At 44.9% G+C, this 27,580-nt stretch overlaps 1 annotated feature.

The window, feature by feature from the left end:
- Positions 5,396–6,595: an enhancer, noted in NCBI's record as "MED14-independent group 3 enhancer chr20:23999092-24000291 (GRCh37/hg19 assembly coordinates)". NCBI's record gives its function as "activates an origin of replication core promoter dependent on BRD2, BRD4, P300/CBP and CDK7 cofactors, and independent of MED14, by STARR-seq in HCT116 cells {active_cell/tissue: HCT116}" and the evidence as "EXISTENCE:reporter gene assay evidence [ECO:0000049][PMID:35650434]".

The following is a 27,580-nucleotide window of genomic DNA, read 5'->3' as shown; positions in this document are numbered from 1 at the left end:
GAAGGCACAAGGGTGCACAAGAGGCTGTGTTTTCATGGTGCACCTGGGTACCTTTTTATTTTTATTTATCGTATGTGCATATTATATTGATAATCATTATGAATTTTACTATTACTTATTGTATAAAAGTATTCCTATTTCCACTCTACTTCTCACATGTCTTAATAGGTAGGCTCTATGATCCCAAACATGATACAGTCATGTAACTATCCGGCTCCATCAGATCTAATTCTGTAGCAGTAATACCAAATTCCCTCCGTCTCTAATCCCTCTCTAGCTGAAAATAGGCACATTGACCCTTCACATCCTGGAAAGAAGGTGATAAGCATCACTGGTCTGAATCCCTATAGGGAAAACTAATAAAAATGAGAACAACAGTTTCTGCTTGTATGACGGCTTCCCAGAATGATTAATGAGAAGGAGAAGCTGCTCCACCTTTGTACTTCTAAAAGTCAAGAGCCATCCCCACAGCTGGGTTGACAGTGAGGGTAATTTTGCTTTACTTTTATGCAGGCCTAGTGCCTGCAGCTATGTGATGTTTTAAAAGTACCTCACATGATATCTGAAAAGATGCATGCATGCTACTTGTGTACCATAAATAATAAATTACAGCAGTATCACAAGTGCTGTGACACAGTGGTTATCTCTGCTGCAACTCAGCCAGAGTGGGGGCAGTTCTGCATGTAAGCATAGGAGTGTGATTAATCCCTTCCCCTCTCTTTTCATGGCTAATTTTTTATTCTATTTAATAATGCAGTACACTAGGTCCCATGATGGAGTGTCCTGTGTGTTTTATGCCTAGAGAGCCAAGAAGCACTTGTTGGGCACAGAAGCAGTCCTGGAATACTGCTAGGACACCTAAGATTCTAGTCCTGGGACAAGACTCATCTGGGGCCATATTTCTTCAATCACTGCATTGCAAATGTCTCTTGCGATAATAAAATACGGCAGCAGTTTATTGGTGCTTTATTGAGAGGTCTATGAGCCTCCCGCTTGAATCTGGGCAGACCATAAAGAGTCACTGCAAGGACAGGCAGAATGGAAGGGCATTGTGTGACTTCCATCAGCAGGTAAAGGGCATAAACTTTCTACCTGGTTCTCCTGGGATGGTCATGCCAAGGGAACCTGGATGCCCAATCAAAAATGTAACTCCTCTAAGGTCCCCATGCTGGAGAGGCTGAGGGGGACATCAGCTGAGCAAGTTCTTGGACCTCCAGCGCAAGTGTCTCAGCTGAGGGCAGCTCCAGCCAAGGCTGATTGCAACAAGCATGAGAAATCCAACCAAGAATTGCTTAGACCTTCCTAAACACCTGACCTGCAAAAATTATGAGCTGAATTAATGGTGTTTTAAGGCACTAAGTTTTGGTATGTAAAGATAGTCAGCAAATACCTCTCAGCCCCTACAAGAATTGCCTGGACCCCTCATTAGTATCATTTCTTACATAACCTTGACTTCCTTGAGGTCTATGGGGTGACTCAAAGAGGTAACCCAAATGAAAGAAACTTGTGCACCAAAATTATAAGATATCATCACAAATATTTCAGAGAAAAACACTACAAAAAAAGCAAGTTATCTGTATTATAATTATTGAATTTTTCAAATAGCAAATTTAAGAATACTCTTGGTTTGATGCCAAGTTAACAATCGGCCTAGTGGGGAAAGATGGAAGGTGCACCTGTCATTGGCACTGTGGACAAATAAGTCATCTTTCTTGCCCTTCTCTCCTTCCTCCCTCCCTCGTCCTCTTCCTCTTTCTTTTTCTGCTCCTGTTGCTCTTGGTCCCCTTGTCTCCTTCTTGCTCTCAGTCTTGCTTCTTCCTGGGAGTATCAGTCTTCAGGCCCCATTTTCCTGTGGCCTCAATATTTCTCCAGGGGACCAAGCAGGTGAGCTGGGCACCTTTGCTGGTGGAATTGGCCTGTGCTGAGACAGGTGAGAAGAAAGGAAGAAGAGGACACCTAGGCCCCCGCCTGGTAATATCATGAGCGGTTCCTCTCCTGAGGAGCAGCTTCTGTTGGGATCATTATCTAAGCAATTAGGGGTTTCCACTCAATTTGCAGGCTCGCTGATTGTTATGCATGTCTCAAAGCATCAGGCAGTAGAGGAACTAATCAGCACTTAATTGCTGAAAATAAAATCCAGAGAATAAGGAAGAAAACACAAAGAAAAACAATTCTCTCATTATTTCAACTTTTCTGCACCACTCCCAATTACACAGTAAATCACCTCTTTTCATAGCTGCTGTCATGACATCTGTGTGGGCCTTGGGGTCACTTAATTTCAAGCTGCCTTTAAAACCAGGTCCTCTGAGGAACAGATATTTGTTTTATGCTGATGCAATTAAAGAAGCTAATTTCAATTTTGAAGCACACAAGATGTATGCAAGTTAATAGCTTTTCGGCTTTTGGCCTCCAAGCAGAATGAAAAGCTTGTTGTTCAGCTTTAATAACCTGTGGGACAAATCTGAGTGTTCATATAAATTGGAAACCTTGCTCTTAACTATTTTTTTCATACAATTGCTTCCTGATACAAGGATCCTTATCTTAAATCCTGTAAATCTTCAAAAGTCTTTTGTTTCTTGTGCATCTGGCTGTGCCATTTATTTGGGGTGTCATAAAGGGAAAATGAAGTAGAAACAGGCACCTCCCAGGACAGCCTTGCAAGCTGGAACTCAGAGCACTTGGGGCACTGTGGCTGTGATGACCCACCTCAAGGTTGTTCTCCTCCATGCCTGCCCCATGTCCTTTGCCTTCCTTGTTCAGAGTACACATTCATGCAAGTGACAGATATCAGCTTTCCTCTACATCATGTTAGTTCAGTTGCTTGCAATTTGCAAGTGGCCCTGCTTCTCTAGTAGGGATCCTGCAATCTCCCTTCATGTATTTTTATGTGCAGCATAAAACTGCACAGGAGAAAAACTGGAATGAACTTATTGGGAGCAGGAAACACATTCATTAAGAACCCACGGTTTTTAGGGATATGCACCTTGCACAGTGGGGCACATGAAGCATAATAAATATTAACTGAAAGTTTGGTTTAGGCTCATTCCCCCAGAAGCAGACCTTGAGGAAAGGATCCAGAGCAGGAATTGGTTTGAGTGGCGATTTGGAGGGAGCAGTGGTGGGGAGCACTGTGGAATACCTCTCTTCCCCTCAAGGGAGAACTTGCCCAGCTGCAAGGAAGGCGGGTTTCTGCAGCCTTCACTGGCTGCCACCAGGATCTGCCCCTGCTTTCCTACTCAGACAAACTCTTTGCAGGCCATCCCTGCCACGGCCTGCACTTGGCTGGTGCTGCAGCCCAACTCAGTGCACCCAGCATTGGACGCCTCTAATGGGCAATCTCTGGGTTGGCGGAGCCTTCCTCAGTCAGCACCACAGTCCAAGGCTCCCCCTGCCCAACACTGGCCCTGCACTTGGTGTCAGGTTTTCTTCCCCAACTGTATTAGCGTTTTCTAGAGGGACAGAACTAATAGGATATATATCTATATATATTTTTATGTATATATACACACACACACACACACATATATATATACACATATACATACACACATATACACACACACATATACACACACACACACATATAAACTCCCCTTTATATATATAAAAAGGTCTGGTCACGCTTCTGGTCTTGTGGTCATAGCTGGTATTGATGACTACATTCTTCTACCCATTCTGTATTCCCTTTGCCTTTAGCAAGTGCCTCAGCAGGTTGTGTGTGTGTGTTTTTTTTTTCCTTGTGGAGTAAGCCAAACCTTCATTCCTAAAGAGTCTGGGCAATTTGTAGTCCTACCTGGATTGGGCTGTTGTAGTTTCCCACTGTGAGATCTGAGAAGAGCAATTACAGGGCTCTTCAGAGATGCAGGTGCTGCCCTCACAAATCTATTTTGCAAGGCATTGGTCAAAGGTATATCTTCTGGATGCTCCCAGTTGGAATAAGTAGATCTAAAGTGACTAATCCACTCCACCATCCCAATCTCCCAATGCCTTTGAATCCCTTCCTTTACATTAAACCAAGGGAGATCAGGCATTTCCAGCTCGCTCATAGTAGGCCATCTTTTCATCCATATTTCAGCTAACCAAACAAATAAACTATTAGAACCCTTTTTAACTCCCCAAGCTGCAATATTAAATGCAGAGTCCCTACTTCGTGGGCCCAAAGCAATAAATTCAGCTTGATCCAACTCTATGTTCCTTCCACCATTATCCTACACCCTTAATATCTATTTCCATGCCTGTTCTCCAGATTTCTGCTTATATAAATTAGAAAGCTCAAGCAGTTCTTTTCGAGTGTACTGCAACTCCTCATGGGTCACACTCTCAACCTTATGTCTAGGGGCCCGCTGGGACTTTAGTCTAGTTATAGGTCTCGAAGAAAACAGGGGTGTTGGGGGTGGCTCCTCAGGAGAATCAACATTATCTTGCCTGGCAACTGCCTTGAGGCCATCATCACTGTTGCCTCAGGCAGCACAGGGTTTAACTCCTCAGACAAAGGTGGAAAGGCTGATGGCAGCATGGGTCGGGGAGGGGATGTTGCCACTACTGGGGATAGGGAAGCTGTTTCTTCTGGCAAAAAAAGCTTCATCAGAGTTTACAAACTCAGTGTCCCCAGTGTCATCAGGGTCCTCCCACACATCCCCATTCCAAGTTGCACGGTCCCATTCTCTTCCTATCAATGCCCTCACTTTAACAGCAGACACCTGGGGAAGCTCTGCATGCACCTTTCGTTGCAGGTCAGCCACTCGCATTGTAAGAGCTTATGTCTGTTTTTCCACAATTTTAGTTATTTCTCTACAGGAGATAAGACCCTCACTCAGGGCAGTCTTACCAGATTTGAGCCTCAGTATCTGCTTCTGAAGCTGGGAGTTAGAATCCCGGAGTTCATCATTTTCTTTTGTCACTTTTTCCACCAAACTTAGGAGCAACCAACCAGCTTCATTATGTTCCTTGGTTCTCCACATATAGTCAAAGGTATTATGTATAGAGTCACCAAACTCCTTGCCTCTTGTGAGTGGTGAATTAGGAGTGTCAGATGCATTTATTTTGCGTAACTCTCTAAACAGTTCACACCAAGGACTATCAGTGTTCTCCATACTATTAGAAGTAGAGTCCTTATCATTTTTGGATCTAATTATATTAAGCAGCCAACTCCAGAAACCCAAAACCAATGAAAAAACTCCATTCTTAATATTCTGTTTCTCTAGAACCACTCCTGGTACCAAAGTCTGTAATAGTTATGGTTCTCTAGAGGGACAGAACTATATATATAAAGGGGAGTTTATTAAGTATTAACTCACACAATCACAAGGTCCCACAATAGGCCATCTATAAGCTGAGGAGCAAGGAGAGCCAGTCTGAGTCCCAAAACTGAAGAATTTGGAGTCTGATGTTTGAGGGCAGGAAGCATCCAGCATGGAAGAAAGATGTAAGCTGGGAGGCTAGGCCAGTCTAGTTTTTTCACGTTTTCCGGCCTGCTTTATGTTCTAGCCTCGCTGGCAGCTGATTGGATGGTGCTCACCCAGATTAAGGGTGGGTCTGTCTTTCCCAGCCCACTGACTCAAATGTTCATCTCCTTGGGCAACACCCTCACAGACACACCCAGGATCAATATTTTGCATCCTTCAATCCAATTACATTAACAGACAGTATTAACAATCACACCCAGTTTTCTTTTACAGGTATTATGCACCTCAAGGAATTACTTGCACTTCTAACTCCTTCCCAGCATCTGCTTCCAGGAAGACACAGATGACTTGTGAAAAAGTGAGACAGGGAAGGAGGGGAAGCAGTTAATGAGCAGGTCTCTGCTGTGAGCACCTCATATGCAACCTGGGGGCTTGTTGGTGTGGAACTTGTCTCAGACTTGCCTGAAAAAGTGAGGAAGAGGGCAATTTTGTTTTCCACCCAGCACCCCATCCTCCTTGGCTGAAGGCTGCTCCTGGGGAATTGGGCTCTGGCACTTCCTGTGAGTGGGGAGAGCAAGCCCTGGGGAGTCACCGGCACACACCCTAGTACTCCACATGAGGGTTTGAGAGCAGTCAGTGTCCAGGGAATGTGGGTGTGGCTGTGAGAGCAGCTGCCACAAGGCTTTGTTCTCTGGCTACTGATTCCCCATTCCGAGTCACAGTGAAAGAACAGCCAGGCTAAAGGATGCAGGGTTGTTGGATCTGCACCACCTCCAGGGGATGGCCCCTGTTGCCACATAAACCCCCAGGAGCTCCTCTCATTCTGCACTCACCTGGTCTCTCCAGTCCTTTAGTAGGACCTCCTCACCCCTACTAAACTTGGTAGTTTATGGAGCACTTGCCCCTGTGCTTGCGCATGCTCAGCTTGTAAAGGATGTCACGAAGGGCTCAGTATTATCCACTTCCTTTATTGAAGACATCTTCATTCTTCTGTCTTGGAAAGAGCAGGCTTACAAGAGACAGCCGTGTTACACAGAGCACCTCATAATCGAACTAAGGGGCAACCCAGAATGAATCAGTAGTGCTCAACGGAAAAGCCCTGAGCTGTGATCTACAGTGGGGATGAACTGTGCAGCTACTCACAAGACCTTTCTTCCTGATGGCAGCTCAGCCGCTCTGCCAAAGGATGGGAAGATGGTCATTAGGACTGTGGACTGCACAGACAGTCTCAGAGAAGGGAAAAGAGAACACAAGCTCACACACCCAAAGTTCTGATATTTGTAGACTCAACCGTGGAATCCACTGAAGCAAATATAACATTTGGGGGAAACTTTAAGAAGTTCAGATTGGTTTGCCACTTTAATCCTTCCCCAACTGGCCACAGCTGTCACCAGCCAGGACCAAGAGAGAACCAGCCAGGGGAGAATATTAGAAATTTCACTCTCATGCCTATCTTTTGGAGCAGGCTGCTCACCTGTCTCATCTACCTGAGTCCTTGAGAACCATCACCTTTGCCTAGGTTCTTGCTCCCTGTAGAGCCCTAAGCTGTTGTCCAGCTCTCTGGGGACTTGTGCTGGGAATGAGCCTCCTCTGGGTCCCTCACACCAAGAAGTCACTGGCCACAGACCCTGATCCATTTGCCTCGACTCACGATTGCTGTGTCTTCTGGCTGAGTCTGTGGACTCTCCCCTTGCATTTACCATGAGTTACACGCCCTTATATCAACTCTGTTGCCCTGAGTTTTCTCTAAGTAGCCCTGGTATTCTTTTCTGTTCCTTCAGAAGAATTTTTTTTTTCATGTTCAGCATTTCTTTCCCTTGTTTTTTGATTTCACTTATAAGCCAGGGTCTAAAACACCTCAAAGGGGTAAAAAACATGTAAATCCTCCTTGATTTGTGTTCCCTCTAAAGCACACACTGAGCTAAGAGCTTGGGTATAGATGCTAAGTGGGAAGTTGTTTCCAGGAAATACAGGTAGAGAAATAAGACAGTATCCAAAATGTGGCATTTCCATACAATGGAACAGTGTTCAGCCTTAAAAAGGAAGGAAATTCTGACACATATCACAACACGGATGAACTCTGAGGACATTATGCTAAATGAAATAAGCCAGTGATTCATTACTTACAATGATTCCACTTATGTAAGTGGCTAGAGTCATCAAATTCGTCACGACAAAGTAGAATGGTGGCTGCCAGGGGCTGGGAGGGGGAGAGTGGGGAGTGTTTAATGGGTACAGAGTTTCAGTTTTGAAGATGAAAAGTGTTCTGGAGATGGGGCTGGTGATGATTGTGCAACAATGTAAATGTACTTAATATCACTGAACTGTGTACTTTAAAAGGGTTAAGATGGTAAATTTTATGTTATGTATATTTTAATACAATAATAAAGGCATTGTTTAAATCAGAAGACATATTGTTTAAAAAAAAACCAGATGCTGATGGCAAGGTAGGGCTGTTCCAGAGGAGTGAAGGGAGGAGACCCATCAGAGCAGCCGTGCCTCCTGCATTTAATAAAGGCATCAAAATAAAATAGATGAGCAGAAAATGAGACTCATACTCTTGCACTCTCTTTATCATAATTGGGCCACTTTAGCAACCACACTGGGGAAGGGAATGGGTTTGATTTTAGTGGTTATGTTAATTTCTGTAAAATAAATCAGATTCTTGAATCAGCAAGCTTTACCACCCTTTGCATGAGTTTAGAATATAAATGAAAGCTATTTCTCTTCCAAGATGATCTGGGTTAAAAAGCAATAACACACAGGAAATATGCGAGCCATTTCTGGAGCTGACATTCTGCGATCTCCTACTCGACAGTTATTAGAGGGACAGCAGATCTGCGTTCCCACCATCATTGTCGTACTGAGTGGCTGAGCGATGAGTGAGGCTGGTGTTAATGATTGACCGGGACTCTGTGGGAGAAGCAGTGAGGATGATGGCCAGGAGGTGCCAGGATTTTGGAGTGTTACAGAAAAGTGCTACAGGGTCTTAGGTAAATACCAAGTTCTTGCAGTCCTGCCTGTCTCAGCAACTAGCATTCTTGTGTATTTAGAGGAATTTGCAAAACATAAAACATATCAAGCATAGGAGGTTCTCCAGCTTCAAGTACACCTCACCTCCATAGCTCCAATCAGCTGGGAACATAGAACAATCATGGATAGTGTTTTCCTTCTAAGCTAACAGCAGAGATCGTCAAGGAAGGTGGTTCAGATAGGAAGGGCACAGAATCAAACACCAGAAGGTGGGGTCTGTCCCTCAAGTGAGACTAAATTGCTTGTTTCATATTCCCAGCAGTTACAAAGCAGTGACTTTAATAAGGCTGTGTTTAAGGAATTTTTGTTTGATTGGGCTGCAAGGCAATGGGAAACGAAGGTGACATGCATTGCGTGATTTATTTTTGGATTCTCTGCATGCATGGGTTTTATGAAGACAGGATGAGAGAATATTTTAGCTGGAAGGAAATACAGTTTATCTAGTTTAAACTGCTTACAGTCTGAAAGTATTTCAAACTAAAAGGAGCAGTGCATAGATCCCTGCACAATTTCAGAAAGCAATAATACTCCTAGCACAGAGCAGCCCCGCTGTGTTGTCTGGAGAAGGTGATAGGTGGACTGCAATGGACAACCCACCTCTCGGACCTACACCTCCCCTGTGCTGTTTTCTGACACAGGCTGTGAGGCCTGTCCTTGGGAACCAGGACTCAACACCATCTTAGTAAACTCACCCCGCTGCGGGTCCTGGTGAACACTGCACAAGGAGACAATGATGCTTAAGTAAGGGCACAGAATCCACTCTTGTATAGGGAGTGGGCATGAGGACAAGGGGGCCAGCTGCTGCTGTTGTCACTAGAGCAGAGTTAGGAACTGTTCGATGTAACTTATTTACTACATTAATCTCTGCAAAGACCCATGACATGCCAAGGATGTTTCCTCTTATACAGATGAGTTTATTAGAAGTTCCTATGAGTAGGTAGAGTGGCAAATGAGCCTTAAGGTTTATTAATAAAAGTTAGTTCTTTTAGAGATAAATAATGACCTGATATAGTTATTTTTTAAAAGAAGGAATTTAAGATATCTACCTTATAATACAAAGCCACAGACATCACTTCACATTTTTCTTTGAGGAACTTGCTGTAATAGGCAACCATATACAAAAATGAGAATGCGAAGGAAGGCATATCATTAAAACAACAAAAAAGAAAATATAAATCAATAGCTTTTCTTTTCATACATGATTCATGTGAACATGGAGTATTAAATGTAGTTTTGAAGTATTGGAAGGACACGAGAAGTAGAGAAAGGGAATCAGGACAGGTTAGGTTAGCACCAGGTATATGAAAGGAAGCAATGGGTTTGGTTTACAATAACAAGCGCTGCAAGAGAGCTGAGGAGGCTGGGAGCCATTGCAAGGGTGTCCCAGGCTGCATAGGGTGGGTCTGGGTCTGAGTCTGGGCTGGAAAAGGGAAAGGGAGACAAGGTCTCGTTTTGTGGGTTCTGAATCTGGCCAGAGAACTGCAGGGAGCAGTGCCACCGATGGGCAGGGCAGCGGGGATGCTGCCTTTCATGGTCAGAAATAGGGGAGGAGAAAATCCACAAGACACTGGAACAGAGAACCCAGGAGATGGCAGTGAGGGTGCATGCACATAGAGATGCTCCAGTCAAGATGCCAAAAAATAAAGTCAAGGATAAAACGAGACTGGTTTCCCAAACCCTGACACACATGTGTAAAGTGAAATGTAAGATGTGAGCAAAGTACTCATATAGCACAGAAGGGAACGCACTGCTCACACAGCGAGTAATCAACACTGTGCTTCCCTTTGCTTCTGGAAGAATCCCAAAAAAGGGTTTGGACAAAGTTATGAAAGACAGAGCAGTAAGTGGAGCTGAAATGCCCCCAGTCATTAAGCCTGAGATTGAGGAAAACCCTAGTCCCTTCCCCACTCTGATCCTAGGGCCGCTGGCAGCTCACTTAGCTCCCAAAATGTCCCAGGTTCACTAGAAGTTTGGCCTGAAAGTGCCTTCGTACCTTTATGAAGATCAAGGTCAAGTTGACTATGGAGACCCCCCTGGCTGCTTCCCTCCGCTAAAGAAAACCAGAACTGGACAATAGTTAAAGCTGTAAAAATAGATTTGGTTCAGGAATGATTGCAGTAGGATAAAAGAAGCCTCAAAGTAGAACATGGGTCACTCCTACAGCATGGACAGTGGGGACTTTCACCAAAGAGCAGGGTGGGGTCAGCGGATGCTAAATCAATAAGAGGAAGCATCCGGCCTGTAGGTGGGGGAATCTGGCTAACCCGACCTAGTAGGATTCTTGCTGAAAGCAGACAGGGTTCAGACATCTCCTGGGGGATGGTGGAGGTGGGAAGCTTGATCAGCTGTCAGGAGTCAGGGATTCCCACTAAACTACTCCAACGCAGACACCTGCACACACACATACACACACACCAGATCACAGGCACACATACATCATCTATCACACACATCCCACACACACATGCACACTGCATGCACATCACACTCCCACACACATGACACTGTGCATTTCAGCCCCCACGCTGCTCCCTGTACCCCACTCTTCCCTCAGATGTCTTGAATCCTCAGCTAACAGATAACCTGCCATCATTTAAGCCAAATGAGCTGTAAGTGTCCACCCATGTTTAAAACAGTACTAATGTTTTGTTTCTTTGCTATTTCTAGGTTAAAAATAAGAGTTATAAAATGTTCTTTTGTAACCTTGACGGATTTCCTTGCAAACCCACAGGACAACTAATATGAACAAAATATCACCAAATGAAATAGAAATTAAAATTCTTACCTTAAAATAAAAAGTATTTAGATTAATAAGGCCTCTTTCCAAAATGTATACTTTTAGATACAGACATGTAGGACAAGAAGGGCAAGTTTCATTTCATCCAGCCGATGTGTGTGGCTCATCTGGGCAGCAAACAGGCCCTGATGGAGTGAGTGTGACAGAAGGCAAGAAGAACAGCCTACGAGAAACTCCGAAAACCAATCTTGCTACCTTTGTGGCTTGGTCCAGGGCTTACCTGAAAGGGTCAGAAATTCAACAGGATCAAATCATCATTGACAAAATCAAGCTACTAGTTCTAAAGGGATAAAATTTCAGGTGTGTCCTTGAGAGAGCTTAAGTTTTCATTTTCTGGACAAATCAAGACCTAATGCCAGGGAAATTGATGCTGTGCTAAAACGTTACTCAGCCGCAGCTCTCGAGTAACATGGTAGGAAAGGATGCAGAGAAGTGTGATTTGCACAAGAAATGAAAGGTTCAGGGTGAAAGTCCATTGGGTCACAGTAGACACAGCTATGCAAAAACTCAAATCTACTTCCTACATAATTTTCTTGTCAAGATTCAAGAAAAATGCAGTAATTTGAACTAATGTGTTGGCTTAGAAAACATATATTAGGAAACATGGGGAATAATGAACAAACACAGGACAGTAACAATGAACAGAACAAAGCGATCTTGTTCTGGAGCCGATGGTGTGTGTTGTCCACTCCTTTCCTGGGGCAGAGGCAGGAGCTAGGAGGCTCCTTTCCTGAGGTCCTCCCCTCCCTGGAGCCTTTGGTCTCCCCTCGATGTCACAGGATGTGAAGCAGGAAGGCAGTGGGGTTGAGTGATAGGTTTGCTCGGAGGACTATTTATGTTTTCGAGTGTCTTTACAGAGAGAAGAGGGAGTCCATTCAGAGGGGGTCACACTGAAGGACAATCACAAAAAGATTTGAGTCAAGGTGCAGGACTGAGTGGGCCACGGGTACAGGCGTGTTATGAAGAGGAGGGAAGGCGGATGCACTCATACGCAAAGGAAATCAAATCACTGGCTAAGTAGGGAAGCCTGGGCAAGGGGGGATGAGGGGATGAGGAGTGTGTGGCAAGGTTGCCCTGCCAGGGGAAGGGTCTGCAAGGCCTACCAGAGACAGGTCCATAGGGGAAGGCCATGGGCTGGACCTGGAGGCTGACAGGCTGCCCTGTACCCGCCACACCATTCCTGTATCCTGGGGCATTCATTACTGGTTTTTAGGAGTTCAAAGCAGGTGTAGTCACCATCTCCAAAACTTGTGACCTGGCAGAGCCTGAATCCCGCTGGTGTCACCCTGGACCTGCCATCTTAGTTGAGACCACATCCACCCCCAAGAACCTGCTGTTACAAACATCGTTCCTCTGCAAGGAGGCAGGGGGAGACACTGGCTTCCATCCTCCCTCCCGCTTCCTGCTCAACTGGCAGGGGGAGTCTTCTTAGAAGCCCACCTTGATGAGATCTTTCTTTCCCCAAATTCTCAAATGCTCCTGATGCTTTCCGAGTTGGACCTGAGCTCTGTGACTGGTGTCCACAGGCTGCTGTGATACTGTTAGGGTCCATGTGCTGCCATATTCTCCACCTCACTCCACTCTCCAAAAACTCCAGCCTGCGTGGGTTCCCCTTATCCCTATCTCTGTAGCTTTTTCCCTGCCTTCTTGATCCCACCAATCAAAATGCCAGAGATTAGCCTCCCTGAATACCTCCAGCCAAAAATCACCCTAACTGCTTAGCACCCAAAATAACTGCCTGTACCACTCTCATGGGGTGTCCTACCTTGTCTCTCAGTGCATGGATAGTATGTGCACATCATTTTTCCAGGTCATCCTCCAGAAAAGGCAGACACATATAAATTGGTTTGCACGTAAAGTCAACCTTTCCCCCGAGAGAAACATTCCCAGCTCTTCCAGACTTCTGTACCCACTGGAGGCACCAAAGCCCTAATGGGCATGATGCCCCCCTCCAGGCTGGTGCATCGCAGGGCAGGCCTTTGATGTGACTGCTGCCCCAGTGGGTTGGGGAGGCTCTGGCCAGATGAGAGACTCACCCTTGTGCTGTGCCTGTCGTGATGATGGCTGCAGAGGAGTTTGCTCCCAGGGCAGGCCTCCTCACCTGAGTCACAATGCAGTGAGCTTCCTGTTGACACAGACATACAAGCCGCCATTCCAAATCAAGGGGCTCACAGAGGTGGGCTCATCTGGGCTGACTGGGCTGAAGGTCTTTCCAAGTCCCTTGGAGCTTGAATAAAGTCTGCATTTAACTTGCTGTGAAGTTTGTTCCACTCCATCAATTACATAGTATGGGAGTTAGTGGAGCTCAGCATGCAGTATTGAGAGGGTCAGTGTGGGTGACAGAAAGTCAGCTGGCATGCAGCATTCGAATTCTCCCACTCACAGAGCATGTTTATGAGGCGTGCTCACCACCATCCCAGCCCTGGGCAGCACTGCGTCTCGCCTCCACTGACAAAACACAGTGATGACAGAGATGCACGCAGGAGAAAGTGGCTGGTAGGTGCATACTGAGTGACTGAGGCCATGAGTGTCCTTCAAAGGCTTGGTCTGAATGACTTGGAAATAGCAGCTTTCTAACCACCTTGCATGCCACCACTCATCCAGCCGTCTTCCCCAAGCATTGGGCTACATGGGGATCCTTGAGAGAACAAAGCTGAGTCTGAAATTGGTTTTGCTTCTGTGTTTCTTGCATACCCTTTAAAGTATTAGATACATGACAGTAATTGGAGCCAAACCAGCAACTGCTTCGAGAGATCCCTGGGTTGCAGTTAAGTGTCAGCAGTCCCAGCCAACTGCAACGCTCCCATTCCTAAGCCAAGGGATCCATGCAGGTGTGCATTGCTCTGTCAATCCTATGCTGCTGTGAACCTCAACAAACATGGGCCCTAAGAACCAGGAATCCCAGCAACTCTGTTGTGAAATTTGCAGTACAGCACCACAGTTCTGCAATAATTGTATTTCCTGTTGAGTTACTTCCTCAGACAATCAACATAGCATGGCAAATAAAAGTGGCCCCCAAAGGAATATCAGAACCAACAAGTTGGAATTGAAATGGAAAGAATACCCTTTGGTCAATCCCAGAGTTGTCTCATTTGTCTGTCTGTGAAAGAATAGAATGATTTATGTTTGAATAAAAGGTGTCATGGCCTTGGGGGAAGGAACATACCCATTCCTGCCAGACCTACTCTGAAAACCCCCTGCTCTAAAAATCAGTGATTTGACAAGCATCACCTTGCATCTCTGTTGACATCTATTAACACACTTCTCCAACTGCTACAGAATATTTACTATTACACACAATCAGAGAATCAGGGCCACTTGATCCCTGGGATTCTGCTAGACTTGCAATTTGAAAGCAAATGAGATCTTCGGCAAAATGACAGGCAAAAATTCTGTGCCACAATGAGCAGATGACCTTCAATGACATTGCCACAGTGGATAATGCATTTCTCTTAGTCAAAGGAAGGGCCCACTTCACCTGGCTGTAAGGACATTGTCTTAGCCTATTCAACTTGCTGAAACAAAATATCTTTGACTTGATAATTTAGAAAAAATAGAGACGTCTTGCCCACAGTTCTGAAGGCTGGGAAGTCCAAGATCCAGGCGCCGGCATATTCAGTGTCTGCTGAGGGCTGCTCTCTGCTTCAGAGATGGTGCCTTCTTACTGCTTCCTCACATGGCAAAGGGGTGAGGGAGCTCTCTGGGGCCTCTTTTATTAGGGCACTAATCCCATTCTCGAGGGCTCCACTCTCATGTTGGAGTCAACTTCCAAAGGCCCTGCCTCCTAATATCATCAACTTGGGGAGTGAGGATTTCAAAACATGAATTTTGAGGGAACACAAATATTCAGTCTATAGCAGACATCTATTTTTAAAAGAAATGTTGGCACAAGACAATGAGAAAGAGAGGGCTTTGTTGGTAAGAGGCCATGCTGACCTGGACTGTACAATAAGATAGCCACCAGCCATGTGTAACTATGTAAATTTAAATTAATACAAATGAAGCCAATTAAAAATTCAGCTCCTCAGTGGCACAAGCCACACTTCAAGGGTCTAACCCCACTCAGAATATAGAGATCACTGAGAGGAAGCAAATGTACACAGCAGACAGGTTGAGAATTCACTGAAATTCAGAATGGTTGCAGCTCTAGAATTAGGCTTTCGGAGGTGCCTCTTGGCTTCACACCCACCCACCATTGGCTTTGGGCACATCAGCCACGCCGTGCTTCACTCTGTTCATCAGCAAAGTGAAAGATCTAAAAATAAGGCCCTATGGCACAGAGCTATGGTGGGATTGAATGGGAATCAGTATGCAAGATTGTTGGCACCCAATAAGTGCCAGCTGTTTTTATATTTAATTTAATCATTCAATTAACATCCATTATTAACTGCCTACTGTGTAGGCAGTTAAAACATGGCTCTAGAGGCTGGGATGTGGAAGAGAATAAAGTACTCCCTCCTACCCACTGCCTTCACCAAGCTTACATTCTAGCAGAGAGACTGGCAACGAACAAGATCAATAACCAGTGTGATGTCAGTGGTGACAGCTGCTATGCAGGAAGGGAAAGCTGGGTGAAGAGTGGATGGCCTGGGAGCAGCACTGCCACGTGGAATAGGAAACCAGAGATGGCCTCATAGGGGAAGAGACTTTCAGACAGAGGAAACAGTACGTGCAGAGGCCACAGGCCAGAGCCTGGCACATCAGAGTGAGTGCAGGAGGTGACTGGAGAAAAGAAGAGGGGGCAGAGGTGAAAGGTGAAGCCCTGGAGGCCACTGTTGTGGTTTATGTTTCACTTCGACCTGGAGGCCAGTGGAGGATTTGAGCCCTGGGTCCTGTGCTTTGCCTTTTGCGTTCATAATAATAGCAGTGTTGTAGAGCCCTCAATATGAGCCAGACCTAAGTTCAAACTCTTTACCTACATCAACAACTCTGAGGGGCAAAAACTAATATCAGGCCCATTTTCCGTCCACAAGAGTCTAAATGACATTCTCATAGAAGCACAGTTATCAGAAGCGGAAGCAAAAGTTGAATTTCTAAGTCAAGCTCTAGACCATGCGGGGGTCCACATCCCTGCACACTACCAGGGCCCTGTGTGGCTGCAGCAGGGATGCCAGGAACAGGAAAACTGGCTGCTGCATCAAGCCTGCCTGGAGGCAGCAGGGCTGGGACCAGGGTGCTGAGAGGCCGTGCTGGGCACAGGGAGATTCTGGGCATCTTTTATAAACAAAGCCAAGAAGGCAATCAAGGATAACACCAAATGTCTTAGCCTGAACAACTGGAAGGAGAGCATTACCACTGGCAGGATGCAGAAGGCCAGGGAATGAGGTCAGTTTGGTAGTAGGATGGGAGGGTGGACAGGAGCTCTATCTTGGGCAGATCACCCTGGAAATGTCCTACTAGACATCCAAATGAAAATGCTGAGTACGTAGTTAGATTTGCTGGTCCTCCAGGGTTGAGGGAAAAGTCAAAACACAAGGTAAACTGGAATCATCACCATATAGATTTATTCGAAGACATTAGATGGGGCGAGGTCATCAAGGAAGTAAGCACATATAAAACGGCAAAGAGGTCCAAGGAGTGAGCCCAGGGCAGTGAGGTTTGGACGTTGGGAGACAAGAAGGAACTAGGAGAACAGTGTGCAAGGAACAGAAAGGTAGAAGGATAAGCAGCAGGATCTGGCTGCAGCCACACGTCCATGGTGCTTCAAGGAATCAGCTGTGCAAGCCGCAGATGAATTCAGGGAGGCCAAGACTGAGAACAGACCCCCGGGCTTAGATCATGAAGGTGACCTTGACAAGAGCAGTGTCTGCAGGGCTGTGGGGACTCAAGTCTGACCAGATAAGAGTCCAGAGAAAACCAGCAAAGGATGAATTCACATTCCCCTGTTATGAGCTGAGCCCTGGAGTCTGTCTGCACATCCAGGTCCTGACTGCACAGCATATTAGCTCATGACTTTGAATTCACATTCCCCTGTTATGAGCTGAGCCCTGGGGTCTGGCTGCACATCCAGGTCCTGACTCCACAGCATATTAGCTCTTGACTTTGGCAAGGTGTTTTCACATCATCTATGCTAAATTTCTTCATTTGTAAAGTGGAGATAATAATGAAAAAATTGTTGTAAGCATCAAATGAGTTGATAAATGTCAGTTGCTTAGAACAATGTCTGACTCACAGTAACTGCTCCTTAATGTTAATCATGGTTTGTGATTGTTAAGATTATTATTATTCATAGCACATATCATAATATGCGATGTATTTTCCTAGGATTGTTTAATGCCTGTTGAGGACAGAAATCAGATCTGTTTTGTCCATAATGCCAATCAAAGCTGAGTTCTCCGAAGTGGACAGAGAAGTGAGTGACTCTCAGAAAGTCTCTCTGATCTATTTTTGGCTGAGTGTGCTGTAATTCACAGTATGTCCGGACACGGGATATTTTTCAGCTTCAGATATCTTCATGGAAGGCGCTAAGTCTCAGGCAGAGCAATGCTTAGCTTCTTGTGTCCTCAGCACATGCATAGAAGTGGGTGTCAGAGCAACGTGCGCCCCCGTGCATGTCAGCAGAGACATTGCCAGTGCTCCAGGAGCACTTGTTCCCAATTTAATTAAAAACAAAAAACTCCCAATAGCAATTTGTCACTGTGCTTTAGGAGGCATGGAAGCTGTGCTCCAAACTACTGTGACCTGGTTGTTTTGCAGCAAACCTGGTCTGGCTCATTAACAACTGGAGGCATAGTCTGTGCTTCATGCTTCCGTTCCTCAGTTACTCCTGTGAGCCTGGGGTTGGGTGATATAACAAACATGAAGGGAGACCAGTGGGAGGAAAAATCAGGGCAGGGGCTGTCCCTGTTCTCCAGGCTGGAGCTGGCACTGGCAGCTGCTATTGCAAACTCAACCTTACTAATGCCAATTGGAAATATGCACTCAATCCACTGGGAAAAGCAAGTCATGAAGAAATCTCATCCCCACAGCCAGCACACCCCAGGCTGATTGGCGAAGCTGCTAATTGCTTAACACAAGCAATTAGCAAGGTAGATGACACCGGAGAAATGCAAAGCAGTTGCAGTGAGCATTTTAAATATCGCCTTAACTCACTGGAGTAGCTGAGAGGTCCGGATGAGACCAGTAGCATATCGATCACTTAGGAGCTGCAAAGACACTAGCTCTGCGTTAATCAAAGAATCTGTCTCCGCTGAGGGGAAAAAGCCAGGAAAACACCTGAAAATGTGGCTTTCGGCTCCTGTGCCCTAGTTTCTTCACCAGAAACCAAATTCCAGACTCCATTCAATTCCTCATCAGTGATCAATATAGGTAACAAAATGCTGGGCTGTGTGTGGATCTATAAGCAGATGCTGGAGGCACTGGTACAGACACAGCTGAGCCTGAGGGATCAGCAGCTCCCTGGTACCTCCCTGCCTTCATCAAGGAGAAATGTTTAATCACAACAGAGCAAGATATACATTCTTCCTGCTGAGGGTGGAAGGAACCTGAGGGCTGTAGTTTAAGGCTTGAAGAAGTGGCAGAGACGCAGATCACATCTCTGCTCTTGCTGGTCCCTCTCGCTGAGGAAAACCCAACCCTTCCAGTGCCCCAATTGCCATGCTTGCTGGCCCCCCTCACGAGGTGCATTCAGTGCAGTCCTGACTTCCGACCAGGATCAGGAAGGAATTCACCCACCTCCTCAGTGATTGCGCTCTTCAAGGTGAACAGCCCAGATCCTTCTAGGCTGCCCGACCTCCAGCCCCCAGGCTGGGAAGGAAGTCATCACTTCCCAGGAGAGTTTTGGAAGTCATCACTTCCCAGGAGAGTTTTGGCAGATTGGATTTTCCAAAGATGGCGCCATCAATATCTCTCATCCCCCACAATCTCCTTACACAGTGACAGGTCATCTGTGACACCAAGATATCAGGGCTGTGTCCCCCCCTCTGAATCAGAGTAGACCTCTTTGACTGCCTCAACACAGAGTAGAGCAAAGTGAAGCCCTGTGACTCCTGAGACCAGATCATGGAAATTCTAGGTTCTTCCTCTTTGTTCTCCTGGGACGTTACTCCTAGAACCAGACACCGTGCTGTAAGAAAGCCCAGGCAGACCTTGGAGAAGGCCCCGTGTGGAGAGAAACCAAAACCTGGGGCCCACCGCCCTTGCTGCCCTCCCCGACAACGACTGGAACCACACTTCAGCCCCAGAGTAAGACATCTCCGAAGCAGGTCCTCTACCCTCCAGGGGTCTGCCCCAGAGGGTGCCCCAGAGAGCAAGGCAAGCTCTCTCCACCAAGCCCTGCAATCTTCAAATTCATGAGCAGAATAAATAACCACAGTTGTGTCAAAAGACAAAATCACAACAAATTTAAAGATCTTAATTGGCTTTTATGTGTGATTCGTGAATCAGGGCAGCCTCCATCCTACAAAATAAAATGAAAGCTTGAAAGCTTCCACCAACCAGTAGCAGAACAGTGAGTTTTCTAAGGGGAAAACAAGGAAACAAAACCATAGAAAAATAACTGATCAATTAATAGCATTAGGTTACTTCTTTGTGAGAGTTAACGCAGGACAGACTTCCTTATTGTGCCAGCTAAAGCTGGCCTCTTTGGTTATATTTCTCTCTCCTGATTTCTCAGAAGGTCAAGTAGCTTAGTTTTGGTTTGGTGACATGGAACTTTAGCATGAGTGACTTCATTTTGCTTTGGTCTGCTGGGGCTGGTAAAGGGGTCTACTTCCAGGGGAGAGTATTTTTAAGGCTACGTAGCATCAGGGCCACAGGAGGCTCTTGTTGACAGAAATGACTGCAATATAACCAGGTCTGCTTGAGCCCTAAGTAGGCACAGCTGATGGATGTCCTCTACCTTTCTTATGTGTCAGCCTCTTAGAACATCCCTGTGGGGTTAGATGTTTCTGTAAGCCACCCAAAGGATAACTGACAAGCTTATCTGTCCCGAGGGGAGGGATGAATAGACGGTAGTATGACATTGTGATTTATGATAAGAAATATATATTTGGTTTTTGTCCTGCTCCCTGGCACACAGCTCCTAAAAAGCTTGGAGTCTCCAAAGTGACAAGTGTCTGTTTCTATGCGAATGTGGTGATTGACCCCGGACCGCCTCAGGAGGGGGCCTGGTTGTCAAGGGGACGGATGGCATACTTAGAGGGCCAAAGGGCCTGCTCAGGCGAGGCGGTATTCCTCGGGATTCTTTTCTGCAGTGGATAAGGAGATAACAGGGAGGAGAAGGAAAGCAACTGTTCTCCTTGGGGGTCGGTCTTTATGCAGATAAGGGAAAACTCTCTTGGCCTCTGTTGATCTCTAAGGATTTTCAATTCAAAATACTCACTATACTAGGGAGCCATATTTTTGGGTGAAGTTCCCTGGGTTCCTTCAGTGCTATAGGTGAGGAAATGTAATTTCTTTTCTTTCCCTTATAGATTCTTAGTTTAGACTTGCTTGAAAACAAAAGTCAGATTAACAAGAGAAAACCCAGCAGGAGTTTATTAACACTTGCTGTACCCATCACCTGGGAAAGGCTTCAGTTCAAAATTATTTCTCTCTCAAGGCAGTGGCTTAGGGGCCAATACTTAAAAAGTATTGGCCGGGTGCAGTGGCTCACGCCTGTAATCCCAGCATTTTGGGAGGCCGAGGCGGACAGATCACTTGAGGTCAGGAGTTCAAGACCAGCCTAGCCAACATAGTGAAACCCTGTCTCTACTAAAAACAGAAAAATTAGCCAGGCGTGGTGGCAGGCATCTGTAATCCCAGCTACTCAGGAGGCTGAGGCAGGAGAACCGCTTGAACCTGGGAGGCAGAGGTTGCAGTGAGCCGGGATTGTGCCACTACACTCCAGCCTTGGCAACAGAGACTCCACTTAAAAAAAAATTATTTTAACAAAGAGCCATAAATCCTATTTAGTGACAAGACAAAGAAAAGAGCATCTTCAGGCTTAAAAAAAGTGAGATACATGGGAAAGTAATTGTGGGAAGAGTAAAGCCAGCTCCTAGATTCTCTGGCGTGGCTGTCTCTGAGCTTATAAGCAAGTGTTGGAAAGGGGCCTGTCTTTAGGTGGGAATGACAGAGAGGAAGGAAGAATACCTTGGTTTTGTAAATTGCTGTCCTGCTACCTGGCAAGCAGAGGCAGGGCGGAGTCTCCCTGCATCTGAATCTTCTTAAGCTCCATAATCCTCAGTAGGTAGGGGAGAATATTTTGGTTTCTTTCAGTGCATTAAGCTAATATATGTCACCTGAAATCTGCACCCTGACAGAGCAAAAGGCTTGGCATCCCACGGGACAGTAGCATATCCTCTTAGGGGCCACACTTTTGTAATATGAGTATGTCCAAAGCGAAGTTACAGACTGTTTTTCTCACACTTGCTTCCACTGTGAGACCCACCGGGATAATCATTCTGGCCTCTCATCACATACACTTAATTTTCGAGTGTGACTTTTCTTCTACTGGTTCTTTTTTGTTTACCATTTTGAAGGTCTGTTATTCACATATTGGGTATCCTGGATTTGTTCTTCAGGTCTCTTTATATTGCCTTGTGGCTTTTGTGTCTCTGTGTGTGTGCATGTGTGTGCGTGTGTGTGCACGTGTGAGTGTGCGTGGGTGTGCGTCTGTGTGCATACGTGTGCGTGTATGTGTGTGTGCGTGTGTGCATATGTGTTTGCACATGCGTGTGTGGGTGTGTGTACGTGTGCATGTGTATGTATGTGTGAGTGTGCTTGTGTGCATGTGTATGCATGTGTGTGTGCATGTGTGTACATGTGTGTGTGCGTGTGTGCATGTGTGTGAATGTGTGTGTGCGTGGATGTGTGTCAGTGTGCATGTGTGTGTGCATGTGTGTGTGAGTGTGCGTGTGTGCATGTGTGTGAGTGTGCATGTGTGTGCGTGTGTTCACAGGATTGCAGAATGTCTACCTGGTCCCCCACATCTGTATATCAGTTATCCGCTGTGACCATCTCTCACTTCATCTGTTAAACATTTTCATTTAATTGAAAAATCCATTCTTCTGTCTATAGATCCTGAGAGTATTTTGTGTTCTAGCTACGTCTCCTAGGGCTTGTCATTTGTGGTTTTTGTTAAGTTCTCATGTAGCTCTCTCACCAGTTCAGGGGGAGCTGAGTGTTACATTACTTGCTTTGGACTTCCTTGCTCTGCACGTACTCAAGGGCTCCGGAGGAGCTGAAACTTTTCTTTGCCTGCTCCTCCTGGTGTGTCCTCTCCTCATCCAGACCCATCAGGCTTTTAGGGCGTCTGGGGCAGGATGACTTCAACAGCAAGGGAAGATGTATGACTCCTGCTCCCTGAGGATGTGCAGGGAGTGGGCTGGCAAATCATCACCTTCATTTTGGAACATGGAAAGGACGTTTTTCTGCTTCAAAATGCCAAACACAGTCTTCACCCAACCAGAGAAGCTGCACACAATCCAACCCAACATCAATTTTCTCTTTCTCCAGGGTCATCAAGACCAGAAAGCTCGAACTGCACCTGCACACTGCAGCTCTTTCCTGGAGAGACTCATAGACTTCGGCTGGTCAAGCCACACTGGGGTATAAATAACCTTCACAGCCCCCAGAATAGCTGTGTCTTTCAATTACATGCATGACTCCCCAAGAACCATGCCCTCAGGTGTTCATACCCTCAGGTGGTTCGCCCTGCTCAAGTCTGGGATGATCTTGTAAAAGCTTTACCCAATTAAATACGGAGGAAGTGATGCTGTACCCGTTCTAGGCTTAAGCTTAAAAAAGAGCCAGCAGCTTCCGCTTTTCTGCTTTGGGAAACCCCAAGGCTCAGGTACCATGATGGACAGACCCCTTGGAGAGAGCAAGACTGTGCAACTAGTGGAGAGAAAGACAGAGGCTGTTGCAGCATCCCAGCTGAGCCCAGCCCAGATGACCTGTCAGCTTGACCAGTGTGAGATCAGGAGAACTGCCCAGCTGACCCAGCCCAGACTGCAGAATCATAAGCAAATCAAATGGCCATTGCTTGAAGTCACTAAGTGGGTGTGCTTTGCTACACAGCAATATATAAGCCTTAAGTTCTCCCGCAGCCCCACAGGCTCTCCTGTCTGTCAAGGACAAAGCCTCACACTTACTCTCTCTCTCCAAGAAATCCCATAGGACATGGAAGTCAAGAATCAGCTTCAAATCAGTCTTTCCAGAAGTTTTCATCATTTACTAGGATACAGATTATGGAATTTATTCTCTGTTAATATCATCATTTCTCACATTGGGTTATTTTTTGGTTGTTATTTTTATCTTTCCTTGAGATTTGCCAACAGCTTCACCACAGAACTAGATTATGAAAATCTAATGAATTAATTTATTATTCATTATTATTTTCTTTTTTTGCTTCCCAAGAATTACTTTTTTATTTTAAACTTATTTTGTTATATAACTTGTTCATTATTTATTTTGTCTGTAAATTTGTACTTTTTGCATGTTTAATTCAATTTTAAGATATATAGTATTCTAATAACTTAAAATTGAAATTTCATTTCTCCTTTGATCCAATAATTTTATACAAGTATTTTTAGATATCTGGTTAATTTTTGCAGAATTTTTCATATTCATTTCTTGTTTTACTGTAGCTTTATGGGAGTATGACAAGTGTTTCCCATTTAAAAATTTGTAGAAATTCTGATGATTTTTGTAAATGTTTTATAAACATTTTTAAAAGTGTGTTTCCAACACAAAAAGGTAATAATTACTTCAATCCGACTTTAATTCTCTACGACGTTTTTTGTCACATGTTTGCTGGGCTTATCAAGGGCTCAGAGAGCTACATTCCTAAATCCTGTAAAGATCATCTCTCAATTTCTCATTTTATTTGGATAATTTTTGCTTTATATATTTTCATGCAATATTAATCAGTATATTAATGTTTATGAATGTTTATGTCCCTTATAATATTTTCTCAGTCAACCTATTTGTTTTCCTCCTTGAATTTTACTTCTTTGAAAACCATGTTGCCATCTATGTTGTCGTTTTGTTTCTTGATATACAAGCTAAATTTTAAATGTTTTATTCATTAAACTGTTCTAGAATGTAAGCACATACGTGGATACTGAGTTTTAATGCAGCTAGAAAGTATACATCTTTTTTCACAGAGCCCAGCCTACTTACCTTTATTGTAATCCCTGCCATATTTGTTATTTTATTATATTGGAATAAATATTAAGAGTATTATGTTTCACTTTATTTTCTCAAATGGTTTATTACATTTACATTCTGGTTTAATTGTTCAACCTATAATTCCTTATTCAAATCAAGAAAGATGTGCCAGGTGCAATGGCTCACACCTGTAATCTCAGCATTTTGGGTGGCCAAGGCAGGAGGATTGCTTGAGGCCAGGAGTCCAAGACTAGCCTGGGCAACATAGTGAGACCCCATATCTAAAAATAATTTAAAAATGTGCTGGCCATGGTGATGCATGCCTGTAGTCCCAGCTACTCAAGAGGCTGAGGTGGGAGGTCCCCTTGAACCTAGGAGGTGGAGGCTGCAATGAGCCATGTTTGCACGGCTGCAGTCCAGCCTGAGTGACAAAGCAATACCCTGTCTCAAATAAACCAACAAACAACACAACACAACACAACACAACACAACACAGAGACAGAGGAAATGTGTCTTTTGACTCTGCTGCCTCAGATATACAATATTTAGAATTTAGAATGATTTTCCTTCTTCATGTTCTACCCCCCGACTTTTGATTTTTTAAATATATAAACTAGACCTTGGAATTCTCCATGTAATTAATTTTTATACTTTTCCTGGTAACAAATATTAGTTGTAATACATGCCTCTAGATTAACAAATGTATGACAGTGCTTTAGGTTAATTCTCCCTTTCACTATTCATAATCTCTCTTTTTAACAGGTGCACACCACCACGCCCAGCTAATTTTTGTACTTTTAGTAGAGATTGGGTTTCACCGCATCGACCAGGCTAGTCTCGAACTCTTGACCTCATGATCCACCCACCTTGGCCTCCCAAAGTGCTGGGATTACAGGCGTGAGTCACCGTGCCCAGCCCACTTTTTTACTATCCCACCCTCCCCATTCTCTCATCCCAGAGCTCTTCATTTCTATGATATCAGCTTAACTTCTTTGTATCAAAAATAAAATTTGATACATGTCTTTGAGTGTCTGACCATTTCATTTTCAGATGTGAATGAAGCTTGTTTGTGATAATCTTCCCTCTCCAAAAACTGTAAGTATTATTTAAACCTTAGTGCAGAAGAATGAATTTGATTCTTTTGTTAGTAACTTCTTTTTCTCTCTGGATGCTTGTGGGGTGAAGGGATTTCCCTTCATCCTTCTAAATAAAACTTTGTTCTAGGACTCCAGGTATTATTCCTTGGGGATCACTGTCAAAAAGAAAAAAATTCTTGAATTGTGCTAATTCAAGAAATCCTTCTCTTGATTATGGCAACTGTGCTAGTTGCCCATGTTACCTTGTCAGGGGCACCTATGTCTTTAGCTCACAGTTCATTTTCTTCACCTGTCATTCACCCTCTTACAGATCATACCTATTTGTCCGTATTTTATGCATTCCATGAGGGTTTCTCAAAAATTTTCCATCAGGGATTTCACTTCCTGCAGTTCTATCCATGTTATTTACCAAGCAAAAGTCCTTCTTTCAAAAGGACCTTTGTTGAAATCCGTATTTCAAGCAGATCATTTTCCATCTCATTGCATTGCCTTTGCATCCTATCCTCTAGTCTCTTTGTACCACCTGCTGTCTTTTCATCTCCGTTCATCTTTCCGCAGCTTTCTGCTCCAGGCTTACACAGCCATGCCTATTTACATGCTATTGAGGATGCCGGTTTTCTAGGCAAGGAAATGCCAGTGCATGCTCTTATTCTGCATATCTGCATGATATTCTCTTTCCCCAGATCTGAAGTGTGTTTTCTCAGGGGTGGAGGAGGGAGGCAACATTTTGGTTTTCTTGATTTACTCATTTTCTAAGGGATGCAGAGTTAACTTGGTATTTCTCCAAGCTGTGACTACGTGGCTTCTCTTTGATTCTCCCCCTCTTCCCCACAGTAGGTCAGCTGGGAGCATAGCGACATGCAGTTCCCACTGTGTGATGAGCATCTATCTGCTCAGGGGCTGGACTGTGCGGTTGGGAGATCTTCATCCATGCCCATCTCATGCCTTGACATTCTCAGTTCAGAGGATGGAAGGGCACTCGACTGCCCGCACACTCTGCCTCACAGAGGACTTGCATATGGACACACCTTCAGCACCTCGCATGCCCCACAGGGGGCTCCTCTGCCCATGCCATCATGCTTTGTTTCCGGTGGCCTCTGGATGGATATATTGAGAGAAGCACTCATACAAGGAGAAGATTCTGTCTTGCTTCTGCTATCTTAGCTTCATGGCCTCTGAGGTCAGGCCAGGCCGTGGGACCGGGACCCTGGGCCCACCTGCCTTATTCTGCAAGTTCACAGACTGTGTTCAGTGAGGCAGAACATAAATAGGTCACCAAAAGTTCTTTTAATCTAATTCTGTCAGACTTTTCCAAATTTTTGGAAATAAACGGTTCATCAATGTTGGTCTTTACTTTTGTTCTTGTTTAAATCTGATTCCTAGCAGGAATTCAAAGGAAAATGACTTCAAGGATCATGGTTTAGTGCGAAACAGAAAACCAAATACCGCATGTTCTCACTTATAAGTGGGAGATAAACAATGGGTATTCATGGCATATGTTAGCAACAATAGACACTGGAGGCTCCAAAAGTGGAGAGGGAAGGGAGAAGGGCTGGAAAGCTACCTATTGAGTACCATGTTCTCTACTTGGGTGATGGGTTAAATCAAAGCCCAAACCTCAGCCTTACATCAAAAATCCGTATGTGTACCCTTTGAAGCTAAAATAGAATTAAACAAGCCCAGAGCGATGGCTCATGCCTTTAATCCCAGCACTTTGGGAGGCTGAGGTGGGTGGATCACTTGAGGCCAGGAGTTCGAGACCAGCCTGGCCAACACGGTGAAACCGCATCTCTATTAAAAATACAAAAATTAGCTGAGTGTCGTGGCGCTTGCCTATGATCCCAGCTACTCGGGAGGCTGAGGCAGGAGAATCGTTTGAACCCGGGAGGCCGAGGCTGCAGTGAACCAAGATCGCACCACTGCACTCCAGCCTGGGTGACAGAGCGAGACTCTGTCTCCAAAACAAAACAAAACAAAACAAAACAAAAACAAAAAAAAAAAGAGAGAAAGAAAAATAAATAAATAAATAAAGTCTTTAATTTTTTATTTTAAAAGCAGACCACAGTTTAGCATCCTGAGAAATCCAATAACCATGAAAACCTCCCTACTTTGCTACAGTCTGAGGACACTCCCCAGCACTGAAGCAGAATGTC

The sequence above is a fragment of the Homo sapiens genome, chromosome 20 (genome assembly GCF_000001405.40).
Source record: "Homo sapiens chromosome 20, GRCh38.p14 Primary Assembly".
In the NCBI taxonomy this organism is placed as follows: domain Eukaryota; kingdom Metazoa; phylum Chordata; class Mammalia; order Primates; family Hominidae; genus Homo; species Homo sapiens.
Note: the sequence above shows the minus strand (reverse complement) of the source record. Positions and strands in the feature narration are given on the sequence as shown.